This window comes from Homo sapiens, chromosome 17, assembly GCF_000001405.40.
Source record: "Homo sapiens chromosome 17, GRCh38.p14 Primary Assembly".
Classification (NCBI taxonomy): domain Eukaryota; kingdom Metazoa; phylum Chordata; class Mammalia; order Primates; family Hominidae; genus Homo; species Homo sapiens.
Window position 1 is genome coordinate 50545629 of NC_000017.11, and position 17249 is coordinate 50562877.

Sequence of the window (17249 nt, forward strand, 5' to 3'; positions counted from 1 at the left end):
CTTTCCAGTTCATTCTCCACTGGGAAGCTGGTGGGATCTTTCCAAAACGCAGATCTAACTGGTAACCCTCCTGACTAAAGCCTTTCAATAGCTTGCTTCTACTGTCATCAAAAATCCCCTTCTCTGGCCAGGCACGGTGGCTCACACCTGTAATCCCAGCACTTCGGAGGCTGAGGCAGATGGATCGCTTGAGGTCAGGAGTTTGAGACCAGCCTAGGCAACATGGCGAAACCCCGTCTCTACTAAAAATACAAAAATTAGCTGGGCATGGTGGCGCGCTCCTGTAGTCCCAGCTACTTGGAAGGCTGAGGCACAAGAATCGCTTAAACCTAGGAGGTGGAGGTTGCAGAGAGCCAAGATCCACTGCACTCCAGCCTGGGCAACAGAGTGAGACTCTGGCTAAAAAAAAATGGGGTCGGGTATGGTGGCTCATGCCTGTAATCCCAGCACTTTGGGAGGCCAAGGCAGATGGATCACCTGAGGTCAGGAGTTCGAGACCAGCCTTGAACCCAGGATGCGGAGGTTGCAGTGAGCCGAGATCACACCACTGCACTCCAGCCTGGGTGACAGAGCGAGACTCTGTCTCAAAAAATAAAAATCCCCTTCTTACAGTTCACGAGTGTCTCCAAGATCTTGCCTCTGCCCTCATCTACTGCCTGTCTTCCCTCTTTCTGCAGTTGCTCAGCCCGGACTCACTGACAAGCCACGGGACCTTTGCACAAACTGTACCTCTGCCTCCTTCCCCAGCACTCCCCCTGAGCACCCTCCAAGTTCCTTTCTCTCGTTCTCCATGGCTTCACAAATGTGATTTCCTCAGGGAAGCCTTCATCCTTTGCCCCTTCCACCAGATCAGGTCACTTGTTACGTTATACCCTCACGGACTTGTCACGTGGGTGTTTATCGGTATGGCTGTCGAATTAGCATCTGCCGCTCTCAACAGACTGTGAGCCATGTGAGGGCAGGAGCCTTGTTTCTCTCTGCCCACCATTGTATACTCAGTGCCTTGCAGAGTGGCAGGCGGCAGGCACTTAATAAATATTGGCTGAATGTAGCCAATGAGGCCATGTGTAACCTATGAGACATAAAATGGGCTCATCAGTATTATTTAAGGAAGACTTCCTGGAGTGGGTAGGATTTGAGTAGGACCTAGAGACGAGGAGGCTGCAAAAAGCAAACCTTGTTAGCTGGTGGACCTGGCCAAGGTACGCCTTCGCCTTGGATCTCATTTCTCATTTGTAAAATGGGCAGGGGTTGGACAAAATGAGCTGAAGCTCTGGCATCCCATGTCCCTAGCATCTCCCAGCCCTAGATCCCACAACTCTCCCTATTCCCTTGAGAAGGGCTGTCCTCCCCAGGCAGGGGCAGAGCCCAGTTTTATGCACAGAATGGGTCCTCCCAAGGCTCGGGTGCCTGATCTGCAATTCTGCGCTCCGCCGCAGGGCGACGCTCGGAGACCAGCCACACTGTCCCAAGTCCCGGCGAAGACCCGCCCGCGGCTCCGTAGGTGCCCGGCCCGCCCCTCGCAGCCTCCTGACTTCCCTTCCTGTCCTCAGCGGCCGGGCCCACGGCCCCGAGCAGCCATGCTGGGCGCGCGGGCCTGGTTGGGCCGCGTCCTTCTGCTGCCCCGCGCCGGTGCAGGCCTCGCCGCGAGCCGCAGGTACGGGCGGGCGAGCGGGCCCCTAGGGCACTCCCTGCGCCTGCCTGCGGGCCCAGTGGAGGGTCTTCCGGACACCGGTCCCCAGTGCCAGTCTGGACCACCCCTGCATGCCTGGCCCTTCCCCCACCCCACCTCCGGTCTGCTCCTGAGACCTGGCTCTGGCTGTAAGGCCCTCCTCCCCTCCTCTCCCGTCCTCATCCCTTCCCTCCTCTCCCCTTCCTTCCAGTGCAGTGCCAGCTCCTCAGGGACTGTTCTGACACTGCTTCCAGGAAGCCTTCCTTGCACCCCAGTGCTGGATGCTGGGTCAAGGGCCTTTCTCCAATAGTACCCTGTGCCCTGTCACAGTCCTTTATTGCTGCATGGACCTTTCGTTATTTAGGTCTGCCTGCAGTCCCACTTCCAGGCTGAACTCCCTGAGGTCTCTGATTCCCTAGGTGTCCTGGAGTCTGGCCCAGGACCTGGCCCCACAGGAGTCCCAGCAGGTGGGCGCTGAGTGAGGGAGTCCCCATGTCTGGTTTCCTCTGTTTGTCCCTCACCTGGTCGAGTCCCAGACCCTACTGATCTTGGCCTGTCCAGCCACCAACAGTAGGCTGCCTTCCAGTGGGGCCACACCCAGGCCTGCCAGAGAGATGCCTCCAAGCAGCTGCTCCAGGAAGGGCCGGGGGAGGGGCCTGGGGAGGGGTAAGAATGGAGCCCCAAGAACCATTCTGCCCATTGTGACCCGCCCTGACCTCACAGCCATCCTTCCCACCGCCAGGCCCAGGAGGTTGGGGGAGACTAACCTGGCAAGGAGCCCCCAATGAGCCACCTCTCCTCACCCCCCAAAAAACATAAGGGGGAGCACAAAGGCCACAGTCTCCCCCATGGTTCAGAAAGGTGGGTTGGGCTGGGAGCAGGGGTCCTACTGGGGTGCTGAGTGAAATGGAGCAGGTGCTGGGGGGCCTGGGAGAAGGTGGGTGGAGGCCCCTGGCTTGCCTGATGCACCAGTCCTCGCCAGGGGTAGCTCCTCCCGGGACAAGGACCGAAGTGCGACGGTCAGTAGTTCAGTGCCCATGCCTGCTGGAGGGAAAGGAAGCCATCCTTCATCTACACCCCAGAGGGTCCCCAACCGCCTGATCCACGAGAAGTCACCATACCTCCTACAACATGCCTACAATCCTGTGGACTGGTGAGCACCTCTCCTGGGGCCCTGCCTGGAATCGCTGGGGTCCTGGGCCCCTCCCAGACCCCCTGGGCTACTGAGTGATGCCCCACCCTGCTGGGTCTAGGTACCCCTGGGGACAGGAAGCCTTCGACAAGGCCAGGAAGGAAAACAAGCCGATTTTCCTCTCAGGTAATGCTCCCACCTTCCCTGATGTGGGGGTGTGGGCAGGGAGTGGCAGTGGATGGGGGAGGGTCCTCTCGGCCTGGCGGGTCTTCCAGGAGACTAGAGGCCAGGACGTCTTCCATGTAGCCAGGGCCACTTGGCCAGCCTCCCTCTGACCCGTTGCTGGCCCCCTGACCTCTCCCCATGGCCCTGTTCAGTCGGGTACTCCACCTGCCACTGGTGCCACATGATGGAAGAGGAGTCCTTCCAGAATGAGGAGATTGGCCGCCTGCTCAGTGAGGACTTTGTGAGTGTGAAGGTAGACCGTGAGGAGCGGCCTGACGTGGACAAGGTGTACATGACGTTCGTGCAGGTGAGCAGCCCTCCTCGGGAGTGTATGCGCCACATGGGCTCAGAGCAGCTCCCCTCACCCTCGCCCTCTCTCCGCCAGGCCACCAGCAGCGGCGGGGGCTGGCCCATGAATGTGTGGCTGACTCCCAACCTCCAGCCCTTTGTCGGGGGCACCTATTTCCCTCCTGAGGATGGCTTGACCCGAGTCGGCTTCCGCACAGTGTTGCTGAGAATACGAGAACAGGTGGGTGTGCCTCCGGGAGTTGGGGGACCAGGGTGGGGGACTAGGAAACAAGAGCCCCTCCCCCTAGCTGACCTCCAGGTGTGCCCCCACCTCCCGCAGTGGAAACAGAACAAGAACACCCTGCTAGAAAATAGCCAGCGTGTCACCACTGCCCTGCTGGCCCGATCAGAGATCAGCGTGGGTGACCGCCAGCTGCCGCCCTCTGCCGCCACCGTGAACAATCGCTGCTTCCAGCAGCTGGATGAGGGCTATGATGAGGAATACGGTGGCTTCGCTGAGGCCCCCAAGTTTCCCACGCCGGGTCAGTGCCCCACGCCCGCCTTAGCCCAGGCTTTGGCCTTCTGATTCCTATGCTGGTCAGGGACCTACTGGCTCCTGGCCTCACCCATAGCTTCCTGTCCTCCTGACTGGCAGTGACCTCCTTGCCCCTAGCCTGTCGGTAGCTATCGGTGAAGACCCGACTGCTGGTGTCAGCAGTGACCCTCTCACCTTAACCTAGATGATGACCTTCTGTCCCCTGACTTGGTCAGTGACCCAGTGACCCTGACTTGGCTAATGACATTCTGGGCTCTAGGGGGACAAGTAACTTACTGGTCCTCTGTGAACCAATGATATTCTGACCTCTGGCTTAGGCTATTACCTTCTGTCCTGTGGGTTGACTCTTGACCTCACAGCCTGTCCAGAGACTGCCTGTTGAGTGAACTCCCAGCCTCTGCCTGGCCCAAGGCCTCCTGACCACCCCGATCTCTGTCCCCACTTTCCCATTCTCTCACCTGCATGTTCTTGGTGCCCCCACAGTGATCCTGAGCTTCCTGTTCTCCTACTGGCTCAGCCATCGACTGACTCAGGATGGCTCTCGGGCCCAGCAGATGGCCTTGCATACCCTGAAAATGATGGCTAACGGGGGCATCCGGGACCATGTGGGGCAGGTGACGGGCACTGGGTGTTCCCTGGAGGGGCAGCAGGGGGCTGTGGGGTGGGGCAGAAGCTGGGACTGGCCTCCAGCTTTGTATCCGCACAGGGCTTTCACCGCTACTCCACAGACCGCCAGTGGCACGTCCCTCACTTTGAGAAGATGCTCTATGACCAGGCACAGCTCGCTGTGGCCTATTCGCAGGCCTTCCAGGTGACCCCTGACCCCAGCCCAGAGAACAGGCATCTCACTCTGGCTGCCCCTCCCAAGGCCTTCCTGGTGACTGTGGCTTCTCTTAATCTGAATCCCCTGTTCCCTCCCATGTACCCACTACCCAGGCTTCCCTCCCCCGCCTGCCTCAGAGAATGTTGCCACCTTCCACCTGGGCCTCCCCAGTGACCTCTCTGTTCACAGTCTCCTTTCTTCCCTTTCTTAGCTCTCTGGTGATGAATTCTACTCTGACGTGGCCAAAGGCATCCTGCAGTACGTGGCTCGGAGCCTGAGCCACCGGGTGTGTGTCCATGGTGGCAGGCAGGCCTGGCTGTGGGAGGGGTTGGGGCCTCCACTGCCCTGTGGGCCGGGGCCAGCCAACTCTCCCCTCCCCACAGTCCGGAGGCTTCTATAGCGCAGAAGATGCAGACTCGCCCCCAGAGCGGGGCCAGCGGCCCAAAGAGGGCGCCTACTATGTGTGGACGGTCAAAGAGGTTCAGCAGCTCCTCCCGGAGCCTGTGTTGGGTGCCACCGAGCCGCTGACCTCAGGCCAGCTCCTCATGAAGCACTACGGCCTCACAGAGGCTGGTAACATCAGCCCCAGTCAGGTGAGGACTTCTGGGGTCACCTGACGGGCCCTGGTGCCTGCCAGGCGTGTGAGCTCGCAGACAAAGGCCATTCTCCTCAGGACCCCAAGGGGGAGCTGCAGGGCCAGAATGTGCTGACCGTCCGGTACTCGCTGGAGCTGACTGCTGCCCGCTTTGGCTTGGATGTGGAGGCCGTGCGGACCTTGCTCAATTCAGGGCTGGAGAAGCTCTTCCAGGCCCGGAAGCATCGGCCCAAGCCGCACCTGGACAGCAAGATGCTGGCTGCCTGGAATGGTGGGGCAGCACACCTGAGACCGAGCCTGTCTGTAGGATCCCCCTTCACAAAGCCCCTGTCTTTCCGGCAGCGGCTAAATGCTCACTCTCCCTTGATTAGCGTTATTATTCTCAGTTGACAAAAGAGGCTTAAGGAGCTTGAGTAACCCGCCCAAGGTCACGCGCAAGGGCTGGGAACCCCGCCATGTCTGGCTTTGGAGCCCAAGATCTTAGGGATCACCCATGGCTCCAGGGAGGTGTTGGGGCCTAAGGTGATAGGGTGGACATGCCTGGAGGGTCCTGGCCAGCTTCTTACCACTACTTGTCTCTCCTGGCTCCAGGCTTGATGGTGTCAGGCTATGCTGTGACTGGGGCTGTCCTGGGCCAAGACAGGCTGATCAACTATGCCACCAATGGTGCCAAGTTCCTGAAGCGGCACATGTTTGATGTGGCCAGTGGCCGCCTGATGCGGACCTGCTACACCGGCCCTGGGGGGACTGTGGAGCACAGGTTGGGGGCTGGGTAGACCGGGAGGGCCCGTCTCCCCAACGCGTCCCCAGCCTACCTCTGCCCTACTTCTCCCCTCCATGTGGACTCCAGTCCTGGCTCTGCCAGGTGCTTGCTGTGAGTTTGTAGCTTCCCTGGGCCCATTTACTCATCTGGGAAGTGGGCTGATGGCACCTGCCCAAGAGGGTTCATCTGGAGGGTTAAGTGAACAAATGCGTGAAAGGGCCTCCTCTGGGAAAGGCCCTCTCTCCTGGGGCTCTCCCCAGCCCCTCCCGTAATGCCTGTCCCCCAGCAACCCACCCTGCTGGGGCTTCCTGGAGGACTACGCCTTCGTGGTGCGGGGCCTGCTGGACCTGTATGAGGCCTCACAGGAGAGTGCGTGGCTCGAGTGGGCTCTGCGGCTGCAGGACACACAGGACAAGCTCTTTTGGGACTCCCAGGGTGGCGGCTACTTCTGCAGTGAGGCTGAGCTGGGGGCTGGCCTGCCCCTGCGTCTGAAGGACGGTCAGTGGGGGTGCAGGGCTAGTCTGGGGTCCTGGGAGGTGTAAGTGCAGCGTGGGTGAAGAGCTGGTGTGGGCAGGAGCCCTCCTGGCTTTGTGTCTCTGCTACTTATTAATGGCGTGATTTTTGGCTGCTGTAATATTTCTGTGTCTCAATTTCTTTTTTTTAAATAGAGACAGAGTCTTGCTATGTTGCCCAGGCTGATCTTGAAATCCTGGGCTCAAGTGATCCTCCCACCTCGGCCTCCCAAAGTGCTGGGATTACAGGCATGAACCACTACACTCAGCGTGTTTTGTTTCGTTCCTTTCTTTTCTTTTTATTTCCTTTCTCTTTCTTTCTTTCTCTTTCCTTTCTTCCTTTCTTTCTTTTCTTTCTCTCTTTCTTTCTCTTTTTTTTTTTTTTTTGAGACAGGGTCTCACTGTCACCCAGGCTGGAATGCAGTGGCATGATCTTGGCTCACAGCAACCTCTGCCTCCGGGGCTGAATCAATTCTCCCACCTCAGCCTCCTGAGTAGCTAGGACTATAGGCATGCACCACCATGCCTGGCTAATTTTTTGTAGAGATGGGATTTCTCCATGTTGCCCAGGCTGGTCTGAAACTACTGGGCTCAAGTGATCTGCCCACCTCGGCCTCCCAAAGTGCTGGGATTACAGGCGAGAGCCACCATGCCTGGCCTGTTTCTTAATAAGTAAAATGGAGCTAACATTGGTACTACCTTACAGGGTTGATGTAAAGATGAATGTAGCTGTTCTGTAAACATGCTTAGCACAGTAACTGACACCCATGGATTCAGATATTGACCAAGGCTCACTTGGTCTCTGCCCTCATGAAGCTTACAGTATGGTAGGGGAGACAGCGAAAATGCAGTAATGATGCAAAAACACATGCACAAATGTGCAGTTAAAATTGTGGTGAGTGCCATGAAGAAGTAGGACGCTCTATGTGTGCCTGCTCCCTATCACCCATGTGCCTTGTCTGTGGTTAAAGGTTTCTTTCCCAAAACTCAAATTTTAGCTCCTCAAAGATCAGGACTTTCTGCCACTGTTGTATCCCCAGGGTCTAGTGTGGTTCTGGCACATTGTAAGTGCTTAATAAATGTTAACTGAGTGAATGAAAGGGCCTTGGGAGAGAACCACAGAGGAGGACCAACTCAGCCTAGGGAGAGATTAGAGGACACCTGTGACAGGTGTCATTTAACCAAGGCCTGGAGGGAAAGAGGGGCCATGTGGCCATGGAGAAGCTGTGGAGAGAGTTCAGGCATAGGGAGCAGTGCATGACAGGCCTGGTGCAGGCAGCCTGTATCCTGGAGGACAGGCAGGGCCCGCGTGTTCCAGGAGGGCACCGAGGAGAATGCTGAGGCCGGCAGGGCACGGAAGCCGTCTTTTTTTTTTTTTTTTCCTAAGAAAAGAAGGCTGGTCTCAAACTCCTGGGCTCAGGTGATCCTCCCGCCTCGGCTTCCCAGGTGCTGGGACTACAGGTGTGAGCCACCATGCCCGGCTGGCAAGGAGGTTTTAAGTGGATTGTGATCTGCTCTGGTATGGTTTTAAGGAGGTCACTCTGACCACTGATGGAGAGAAGTGGGGGTGGGGGAAACAGGCGACCAGTTAGGAGGCCATTACTCGTGTTCAGTCCAGGCAGGCATTGGTGAAGGCTCAGAGGATGTGGAAGTATGAGATGGGGAGACATGGTGAGATTTGGATCTCTTCTGGCCACAGCCCTGGCAAGACTCACAGATGGATTAGAAGCGGAGGGAGAGGGAGAGGAAGGGGACAGGATGATGCCGCTCTAGCTTGAGCAGCTGAGTGGCTGGACAGAGGCATCAGCAGCGAGGAGGGAGCCTGGAGACCAACAGTTGAGGCTAGGACAGGTAGAGTGGAGGGTGCCATAAAAAAGACAGCAAAGTACTGATAACTGCTGGAGTGGCATCCACACCCAGAGCGGGGAAGGGGCAGGATGGGCAGGGCCTTTTCTCTGTCCCGTCCCCCAAGTGGCCCTGGATACAGTCCTGGGCAGGGTCCTGGGACTCAGTGACCTGCCCTTACCCCCACCCCCTGCCTCCCTATGTGCTGTAGACCAGGATGGAGCAGAGCCCAGCGCCAATTCCGTGTCAGCCCACAACCTGCTCCGGCTGCATGGCTTCACGGGCCACAAGGACTGGATGGACAAGTGTGTGTGCCTATTGACCGCCTTTTCCGAGCGCATGCGTCGTGTCCCGGTGGCGTTGCCCGAGATGGTCCGCGCCCTCTCAGCCCAGCAGCAGACCCTCAAGCAGGTGGGGGGTGAGGGCATCTGGGCTGGGACCTCGGGTAGGAGGGAAGTTGGGGCTGCGATGGCAGATGGGAACAGGGGGTGGGGTTCCTGGGCTGTCCCCAGAGCTCAGGTCTGTGTGTGTGCAGGCACGTGGCCTGTCAGACAGGGAGGCAGAAGTTAATATGAGTCCGTGGTGGCTGATGAAGTGTTTCTCTGTACGTCTTGGTGTCAGTGTAATTGCTTCTGTCCATACTGTGTTACTGGTGTGTGTGTACTTCCGGGTGTGTGTGACCCTGGAGGTGTGTGTCTGTGCACCTACCTTTGAGGGGGATGCTGGTGTGAGTGTTTGTCTGTCTGCATGTGGATGCCCCATCTGCAGGTTTGCCTCTGTGTCTGCCTGCATGCGTGTGTGTCTGGTGTTTGTGTGTGTGGTATCTGCCTCTGTGTGGGCATCTACTGTGTGTGTGTGTGTGTGTGTGTGTGTGTGTGTGTGTGTGTGTGACTACTCTGTGTCTGTCTGAATGGGTCTCTGTGTGCTCTGGGTCTTCTGGGTGTGTGTCTCCCCATGTTTGTATCTGTACCATTGTGTATATGTATGACATTTCCACTTCGGTATTCTCATGTGTGAGTGTGTGTGTGTGTTCCCACTTGCCAAGCATTAACTCATCCTGGCAGCTGAGATGAGTCCCTGTTCCTTCTTAGAGATATACGGTGGGGCGGAAGGAGGATGGGGAAGCCCTGGTGGTCTAGGGCTCAGCCCTCCCTCCCCTGACACACCGGAGTGACCTTTCTATTCCGGTCAGATCGTGATCTGTGGAGACCGTCAGGCCAAGGACACCAAGGCCCTGGTGCAGTGCGTCCACTCTGTCTACATTCCTAACAAGGTACCCATCCCTGTGAGCCCAATCTGCCACCTCCCCAGAGCTGCCCCCTCCCATCCTCAGCTCCTCAACATCTCCTTCCCCTCAGAATGTTGGGAAGAGGGAACTTCCCAGTGGGCCTTTCTAATGGGCAGGTGACCCCACCCCGGCAGGTGACTCTCCCTGCTCTGCTGCTGCCCTAGGTGCTGATTCTGGCTGATGGGGACCCCTCGAGCTTCCTGTCCCGCCAGCTGCCTTTCCTGAGTACCCTCCGACGGTTGGAAGACCAGGCCACTGCATATGTGTGTGAGAATCAAGCCTGCTCAGTGCCCATCACTGATCCCTGCGAATTACGAAAACTACTACATCCATGACTGCCCCAACCCCCTTGGGGTGGGGCAGAAGGTGAAGCATCCCAACTGACTAGAGACTCAGGCCCTGCAGGGCCCTATAGAACCTGTGGCCATCCCTGAGCACCCTGCCACCAGGTGACCTCGGCCATACTCACTGCCCCCCTTGGGCACCCACTCACCCTAGAATAAACTTAACAGTGTCCCGTGGTAACCTGAGGGCCTCAGCTTTGCTTATGAGGGAGGGACTGGGAACCAGCAGCTCAGGGCCACTTCCTCTGGCAGCCCCCACCTGACCCCTCTGCCTTCTCCCATTTCTCCTTCATCTTCCAGGGGTCAGCAGACTGCCCCTTTCCCTTCCATGGTCATTGTAGCCTGAATGAATTTAGTCCCCTGAACTGAGGTCAGGGGACTAAAACCAAGTAAAGATGCCCAGGGGTGGGCATGGGGGTGTGGACTGGCCCAGGAGGGAGAAAGCACAATCCTTGCCCTCAGAAAGAGGTTAAGAAGGGAACCTGCCCTCCCCTCCCCATTGTCTCCTTGTGTTGAGCTGGAAAGGGGGCAGAGATGCTTTATATGAGCTTTTATATTTCACAGAATGGTGACTTTGCATATGCCCTGGTGCATTGTGGGAGCTGCTATTGTCACGACTAAGACATTTCTTTTGGGGTATCCATCTAGCCCCAGCCTCGAAAGGATGGAAGCAGGGCCTCCTTGCAGGAGGTCATGTTGTCCATTTGTCTGCTTTCATACAAGCTGGTCCAAAGAAAGAGTTCTCTTTCGTTTGGAACATCTGTTGGGTTGGAAGTCCTTCCCCAAATCTATCTGAGTCCTTCTTGCTGCAGAGAAAGCCTTCCTGTGACCTCATCCTTTCCCCTAAATGTTGGGAAATGCTCCTGAGTCCTGTCCTTGACACATACATCTTCCTTGGGTTGAGGGATGGGGACTGGGACACATGCTTTGGGAAGGGCAGGTGCAGAGTGATGGGGCTGACGGGGTGGGGGAAGCAGGGGGAGGAGCTGTCCCTCTGAGGCCTTTGGGAATCGGCTGTGCCAGGCATCCTCAGCCCTCCAGCTAAGCAACACAGAGAGCCAAAAGAGGCTACTAGAGACAAGAAGGCCTTCATGGGGCCACTGCTTGTGGGGGATGTCAGCAGTGGGGAGGAGTGAAGCAGGAAGGAACCGGGAGACTGGATGGAATTGCTCCCTTCACACGGTCACACATAGCCACACATGGTCACTGGGACCAGAGTCAGCTCTGTCTGGGCAGCCAGGCCCTCAGTGCAAGCCACCAGCCCATCTGGAGGGGATTAGTGCTCCGGCCAACAAGGTCAGCTGGCCCCTTCCTAGCTGGAGCCTACTCAACCTTGCCAGGAAGTCAGAGAGCTGGACAAGTGGAGCCCAGCCTGGGGAGGTGGAAGAGAGGGAGGATGGAGCATGGTGAAGCACAGGTGGCCTTTTTGGCAGCCCCAGCCCTGGCTTTGGAACAGTCTGGGCAGTGTGCCAACCCCTCTTGCCACTGTCGTCCCATTGACCCTCATGAATGAGTTGCGAAGGCAGTTACCTTCAGCCTCCTATGGATAAATATTCGAGGCCCAGAGAGGGTAAGAGACCTGCCTGCGACCCCTCAGCACTTCTGTTTCTCTCTGGGGTCTTGAGGGTACAATAAAGACCCCTAAGGCTTCCTCTTCTCGCAGGAGGTCCAGGCGCAGCTGTGGGGGAGGGTGCCCTTGGTGTCTTCTGTCCCTGCAGCCAGTCTGCTTTCTACTCGGCAGCTCCTCTCTCCCTCCTGGGATGAGATGTGCACGCGATGATGGGATTCTGTAAATGGGTTGGGAAGAAGGAGTTACCTCCTTAAAGGGTTAGTTCTCCCAGGAGTGCTCGAATTTCTAAAGGGGGCAGGGTCCCACATAAATCTCACTCAGAAGCAGGATTATAAGAGTTCCTGCAGCATCCCTTCCCCTTTGCTGGTCCCTCTTGAGTGTGCACCCTGTTCTACCAGCGGAACACCTGCGGGCCAGGGTCACTGGAGACAGGGCCATACCGTCTGGGCAGTCACTTAAGTAACTTCATCATTCTGAGCACCCCCCTTCCTTATCTGAAAGGTGGGGGGCCATCCACCCAGCTCTCAGGGCTGTTAAGGTGACTAAATGGGATAATGGTTGTATCATCCCTGAGCAAAGGGTATCACAGATGGGAAGATTATCTTAGCTCCGCAGGGAGCCAGATGGGCTGTGAGGGAGGGGTAAAGGCAGGGCTGGAGGGGGCTGGAGGGGCTGGCTGAGCAGGGTATATATGGGGGGGGTTCTTCCTCAAACCCAGAAAAACTCTTAGTTAGGCTTAGTGTCTTTGTTGAGAAACTGAGGCCCAAAGAAAGGAATTTCTTGTCCCTTTGTTTCCCTTTCCCTGCCTGAGGTCATTCATTCACCTAACAACTTTGTGCCCGACACTAGACAAGGCCCTAGTGAGCAAAATGAACATAGCCCCTCTGGGAACACAGAGCCTAGATAGGGAGATGATCATTTCATTACTGCAAACACAAACATATAATCCCAGCCTGGGCTAAGTGCTGTGAAGTTCCAGACTTGTGTCTGGCTCGGTGCTGTATCCTAAGCACCTTGGCACTTAAGTGGCATTGAAATACTTGCTGGAAAGAAGGCCACTCTGAGGAGGTGATGTCAGAGCTGAGGCTTGGAGGGCTGGAGTTAAATAAAGATGGTTTCAGGTCTTCTTTGCCTTCCCTGTAGGTTCTGCCTCTGCCTCCTCTCTGGCACTCAGGCTAAGGGTAAGCATCTCCGACTGGCCATCAGCCCCAACATGCCGAGTACAGGGATCAGATCCTGTCTTGCGTGGCCGGTCTCCCCTAGGTCCTGAACCCAGGGAAGTGCATGTGGATCTCAATTTATCTAGATGGTGCGTTTGTGCCTGCCCTCCTTTCGGGCATGTTCTAGAACAGAGTTCAGTCCAGAGCCCAGGGGTGGCCGGGATGATGGATGAGGGTGTGGGGCCTGCTGACCACCAGGGGACCTGATCATTGGGCTGGGCCAGCCTCTCTGTCCTCATTTTCCCCTCTGCAAAGAAGGGGTGTTGGGCGTCCCTACTTCTCGCGCCAGCCCCGGGGCCTCTATCCTGGCGGGAAGGGCAGGCCGACCCGGCAGACTGCGGCCTCTCGGGAGGGAAGAAGGTGTCAGACGCGCGGAGCAACCATAAATAGCCCCCCTTTCCCAGAAGACGGCACGGGGTTCAAGACTCAGGCGCCGCATACTCAGAATGAGAGCAGAGACTCCCGCCAGGAAAAAAAGGCACTTAGGGGATCTGCTCATTAGCATGAAATGCAAATGAGCCCGCCCGGCCTCATTTACACAACTCTGTGCATGGATTCGGCGAAAGGGCAACCAGGGAGACGACGGCGCAGCAGCCACTCTGCCACTTCCCCCATCCCCTCCCCCCATCGGCCGGGGCGGGAACTGAGACGACCCCAACCCTCTGCGGTGGCGGGAGGTGCGCGGGGGCTGCGTGGGTGGTGCAGCCTTAGGAGAGTGAACAACGCCCAGGGGTGATGGCCTCAGCAAAGTGAGGGGTGGTGATGGAGGTCATCCGACCCATCCCGCCGCCTCTCCGCAGTGGCGCAAGCGCCCCAAAATCTCCGGAGAGGGAACTGACTGACCCACTAGGTTCCGCCGTGTCTACCTCTCGCAGATGTTGGGGAAGTGCTTCCCGGCGTCTAATCCTCGCTGTTCCCCCCTCCACCGGCGCCCAGCACACCCGCGGCGCTCCGCTCCCGGGTACCCACAGCTTTCTGGAGTGGCGCCGGCGGCAGGAGAGAGCTAGAGCCGACTGAGCCCCAGAACTCGGGGAGGTAGGCGGGGCAAGGGCCGGGGTCTGCGCGTGCGTGTGCACGCGTGGAAAGCACAAACCCACGAGGGCCCGCTGCCGGTAGGGTTAAGGTGAGTGAGTGAAGGCGGCAGACCCGCGAAGTTCCAGTTCCGCGGACACTCTTTCCCTAAGCCACATAGGGACTTAAGAGAAACTGAGGCACGAAGTTGGGGGGTGGCGGTGGTGGGGACTTTGAAGGTCGAGTCGATAAAGCCCAGCTCTGTGCTTCCGCCCCCTCCCACACACTCGAGACCCCCACAGGTTCCTTCTTAGGGGTCCTCGCTCTGCTCCGCAGCCCCTCCTGGGGATCCGGGCTCTGCGGTCCAGCGCGACCTGCCTGGGGCCACGTGTTCAAGCACGAAGCCCCTGCGTGGAGTCCACGCCCTTCAAAAGGTCCCTAGGGGCAAAGGGATGAAGCCCAGGAGCGTCAATGTGAGGTCAGGTCCAGCGGGTTAGGGTTACGAGGTCAGGGTCGAAGTCTCAGAATTGACTCGGGAGTATGACCAATAAGCCCAAGAGATTTGTGGAGGCCACGCCCAGACCATGCCTACCCTAGCCTTTCTCGAGCTCCGCCCGTTTCTCCAAGACTGGGCCCCTCCAGCCTGAAGCCCCACCCCCAGGACATCCAGCTCCGCTCCTTCCCTCCCCCAGTCCCGCAGCCAAGCTCAACTCCAGGGTGGGAGATTAACCAGGTGGAGACCTGGGATTTCGCTCTGGGACCCCCTGGTGACAACCCTCACCCCCGTGCCGCCTGTCTCCTTTCTTCCCCAGGCCCGCCCAGAGCTGAGCTCCGTCCTCCGGCTGCTGCCCAAATCAGGGGTCGTGGACAAAGGATGCCTGGGGCCTGCGGCCCTACGCCAGGACCCCGCGCCGAATACTCTGATTCTTCGGGCTCCCTCCAAGGGAGTCCCAAAGACCCCAATGGCCAATAGGAAAGTGGGTTCGGTCTGGGCAGCAGTCTGATTGGCTCCAGCCTTCGGGAGCGGACCCAGGGGCAAGGGGAGGGGAGAGGGGCGGTCCTGGGTTTTGGGGTGGGAATCGGATTCCAGCTGTGGTTCTCTCCCTGCGCTCCCGCCCGCACTGCCACGGCGGACGGCCAATGGGCGCGCGGCTCGGGGCCGGCGGCGTCCGGCGATTGGCTGCGGGGCTGTCTGGGGGCGGGGCCGAGGCTTGAAGTTGAAGTGAGGGATCCAGCTGTGGTGTGCGCGGGGCTCCTCGCCGCCGCTTTCGCTCGCTCGCTCCGCGTCTCGGCCGGAGGAGGAGGCTGTGGCGCCGGCGACAGCTACGGCAGCGGCAGCCACCGCGGCGGCTGCGGCGGCGGCATCTCCGCCTCCACTCCCGCCCGGGACTGCCCCCCACTGTCTCCCCGCCCCTCCCGGACAGTGAGCCCGCGGCGGGGCGGGGGAAGGAGCCGCCCCCACCCCCTCCAAGCCCACCCCTAAAGAGATCCCTCCTCCCCTCCCCCGCCGCCTGGCGCGGAGCCGGGACGATGCTGACCCCTTAGATCCGGCTCCAGCTGCGCCGCGGGAAGAGGGGGCGCCCCTCCCCGGACCCCCGCCCTCCGCCGCTGCCCCCCTTTTCGTTCGCCCTCTCGGGGCGGCTTCGCCGAAGGTAGCGCCGAATCCGGCAACCGGAGCCTGGGCGCGAAGCGAAGAAGCCGGAACAAAGTGAGGGGGAGCCGGCCGGCTGGCCCGGGAAGCCCCAGGGGCGCAGGGGAAGCGGGACTCGCGCCGGGCGGGGTTTCCCTGCGCCCCGGCGCCCCGCGGGCAGCATGCCCCTGCGGGCAGGGGGAGCTGGGCTGAACTGGCCCTCCCGGGGGCTCAGCTTGCGCCCTAGAGCCCACCAGATGTGCCCCCGCCGGGGCCCCCGGGTTGCGTGAGGACACCTCCTCTGAGGGGCGCCGCTTGCCCCTCTCCGGATCGCCCGGGGCCCCGGCTGGCCAGAGGATGGACGAGGAGGAGGATGGAGCGGGCGCCGAGGAGTCGGGACAGCCCCGGAGCTTCATGCGGCTCAACGACCTGTCGGGGGCCGGGGGCCGGCCGGGGCCGGGGTCAGCAGAAAAGGACCCGGGCAGCGCGGACTCCGAGGCGGAGGGGCTGCCGTACCCGGCGCTGGCCCCGGTGGTTTTCTTCTACTTGAGCCAGGACAGCCGCCCGCGGAGCTGGTGTCTCCGCACGGTCTGTAACCCATATCCTTCGGGGCACGACGGCCAGGCGCGGGGTCAGAAGGGGGACGGGCCGCACCGCCGGGGGTCGGGGGGGAAGAAGACCCACCGCCAGGTGAGTCGAAGTGAGCCCGGAGGGTAGGCGGATGGGGGGGGGGCTGCCAGGGAGGGGAGGGGGCACCAGAGTGGGAGCGGAGACGCGAGCAGGTCTCGTCGGTAACCCGGGCTTACCCCACCTGCGTACACACACCTCAGTCTTCCTGGGTTGGGGGGGTGGGGATCCAGGCCAGGAGAAGAGAGCTGTGCCCCGCTGGCTCGCAGCTGGACGCCCTCCAGATGTGGTCAGGGGAGGGTCGTCATCCTCCAGATGTGGGAAGCTTCGGGAGCCTGGGAGCTGTACTCTGCCCGCGCCGGTTAGCGAGCTGGGTTTGGTTTCCGAGTTTGGTGGGGGGTGGGTGGGGGCGGTGGGGAGGAAGCTGCGGGGACGGAGGAGGGGGGACCGCAATCTCCTGGGTTTCCCTCCTTCCCCCGCCCCAAAGTTTGCGGCGGATTCTAGGGTCTGATCCCCCAACCTGGTCCTTGAGGCTGAGGTTTTTACTGACCTAGAAGGAGATGTTGGGGGGCGGGGACCAGGTCCTGGCCCACCTCACCCCCCACCTCGCGGGTTGGAGGCACAACAAGGAGATTCCGGCGGCGGCTGATGTCAGGGGCGCAGAATGAGAACAAGATGTGGTGGAGGGGAGCTGTCTGCCCCCGGAGCTGGGAGTGGAGCCCCTTTCCGCTAGAGCCCAGTGCCGCGGGTGCCTCCTACCCGATCTCCATTCGATGCAGGGTGCTTAAGATTGGGTTGGGGAGTTTTATGCTGGATTTTTCTTGTGGAGGGAAAGACTGTGTCAAGAGCTTTTTTAGCAAGTGGGGGATGGGGTTAAGCTGGTCCAGGTTACTCCTCCCCTTTCACAAATAAAGAGTGCTCCTGCAGACCAGGTATGGGGGACTGCAGGCCCGCGAAAGTCTTGAGGGGACAGTAATACTGTCAGTGTGTTCACTAAGGAGGACTCGGGTCCACCACCCCAGCGTAGACTCCGCAGATAGGTTTGGGGAATGCAAGCCCCACATTCCAGGGAGATGGATTTAGCACTGCTCCCTGTCTGCCCAGGCTGGAGTGGTAGGGGAGACCCCAGCCCAGTCAGACCCTAGCTC

The 17249-nt window shown here is 59.4% G+C and overlaps 2 protein-coding genes and 1 long non-coding RNA gene across 39 annotated transcripts in view, besides 5 other annotated features; 2 read left to right on the top strand and 1 right to left on the bottom strand.

The window, feature by feature from the left end:
- Nucleotides 1546–10224, top strand: SPATA20 (spermatogenesis associated 20). Of its 3 annotated transcripts, none has more exons than NM_001258373.2 (17): nucleotides 1546–1657; nucleotides 2037–2139; nucleotides 2655–2825; nucleotides 2926–2990; nucleotides 3182–3336; nucleotides 3415–3558; nucleotides 3658–3859; nucleotides 4357–4487; nucleotides 4580–4684; nucleotides 4908–4982; nucleotides 5080–5289; nucleotides 5370–5562; nucleotides 5883–6051; nucleotides 6341–6552; nucleotides 8623–8822; nucleotides 9604–9684; nucleotides 9864–10224. In NM_001258373.2, the coding sequence occupies exons 3-17, from the start codon at nucleotides 2710–2712 to the stop codon at nucleotides 10032–10034; spliced, it is 2229 nt and encodes a 742-aa protein (NP_001245302.1). In that variant the 5' UTR covers nucleotides 1546–1657; nucleotides 2037–2139; nucleotides 2655–2709; the 3' UTR covers nucleotides 10035–10224. The 3 variants fall into 3 exon arrangements, with proteins under 3 accessions (NP_001245302.1, NP_073738.2, NP_001245301.1); NM_022827.4 differs by having other exon boundaries at nucleotides 2092–2139; NM_001258372.2 differs by lacking the exon at nucleotides 2037–2139.
- Nucleotides 1556–1825: a silencer, noted in NCBI's record as "silent region_8704". NCBI's record gives its function as "represses an Ori minimal core promoter by ATAC-STARR-seq in GM12878 lymphoblastoid cells {active_cell/tissue: GM12878}" and the evidence as "EXISTENCE:reporter gene assay evidence [ECO:0000049][PMID:35858748]".
- Nucleotides 3233–3454: a silencer, noted in NCBI's record as "fragment chr17:48626222-48626443 (GRCh37/hg19 assembly coordinates)". NCBI's record gives its function as "represses an EF-1alpha promoter that drives an FKBP-Casp9 reporter gene in an ReSE screen in phorbol 12-myristate 13-acetate-treated (for megakaryocytic differentiation) K562 erythroleukemia cells {active_cell/tissue: K562(+PMA)}" and the evidence as "EXISTENCE:reporter gene assay evidence [ECO:0000049][PMID:32094911]".
- Nucleotides 10579–16480, bottom strand: CACNA1G-AS1 (CACNA1G antisense RNA 1). Its single transcript, NR_038439.1, has 2 exons — nucleotides 16300–16480; nucleotides 10579–11830 (listed from the first exon to the last, which is right to left on the bottom strand). It is a non-coding gene; the product is annotated as a CACNA1G antisense RNA 1 (long non-coding RNA).
- Nucleotides 14637–14686: an enhancer, noted in NCBI's record as "active region_12387". NCBI's record gives its function as "activates an Ori minimal core promoter by ATAC-STARR-seq in GM12878 lymphoblastoid cells {active_cell/tissue: GM12878}" and the evidence as "EXISTENCE:reporter gene assay evidence [ECO:0000049][PMID:35858748]".
- Nucleotides 14907–15286: a silencer, noted in NCBI's record as "silent region_8705". NCBI's record gives its function as "represses an Ori minimal core promoter by ATAC-STARR-seq in GM12878 lymphoblastoid cells {active_cell/tissue: GM12878}" and the evidence as "EXISTENCE:reporter gene assay evidence [ECO:0000049][PMID:35858748]".
- CACNA1G (calcium voltage-gated channel subunit alpha1 G) overlaps nucleotides 15087–17249 on the top strand; it is a 66760-nt gene continuing 64597 nt past the window's right edge. For all 35 annotated transcript variants that reach the window (NR_046055.2, NR_046054.2, NR_046056.2 and 32 more), the window contains exon 1: nucleotides 15087–16073. Coding sequence is in view for 30 of the 35 variants with exons in the window: in NM_001256325.2 (NP_001243254.1) it covers nucleotides 15832–16073 (242 nt within the window). In the remaining 5 variants the exon portion in view is untranslated. The remainder of the gene's footprint in view (nucleotides 16074–17249) is intronic.
- Nucleotides 16046–16635: an enhancer, noted in NCBI's record as "H3K4me1 hESC enhancer chr17:48639035-48639624 (GRCh37/hg19 assembly coordinates)". NCBI's record gives its function as "activates a minimal SCP1, AML or CMV promoter by ChIP-STARR-seq in naive H9 embryonic stem cells {active_cell/tissue: H9 hESC(naive)}" and the evidence as "EXISTENCE:reporter gene assay evidence [ECO:0000049][PMID:30033119]".

What these genes read in the sequence shown, in the direction of transcription:
- SPATA20 (NM_022827.4), top strand. Translation starts at nt 1,581, where the DNA reads ATGCTGGGCGCGCGGGCCTGGTTGGGCCGCGTCCTTCTGCTGCCCCGC. An exon ending in TGCTGAGAATACGAGAACAG is followed by an intron (nt 3,559 to 3,657) that starts GTGGGTGTGCCT and finishes CACCTCCCGCAG; the next exon opens with TGGAAACAGAACAAGAACAC. An exon ending in CTCGGAGCCTGAGCCACCGG is followed by an intron (nt 4,983 to 5,079) that starts GTGTGTGTCCAT and finishes CCCTCCCCACAG; the next exon opens with TCCGGAGGCTTCTATAGCGC.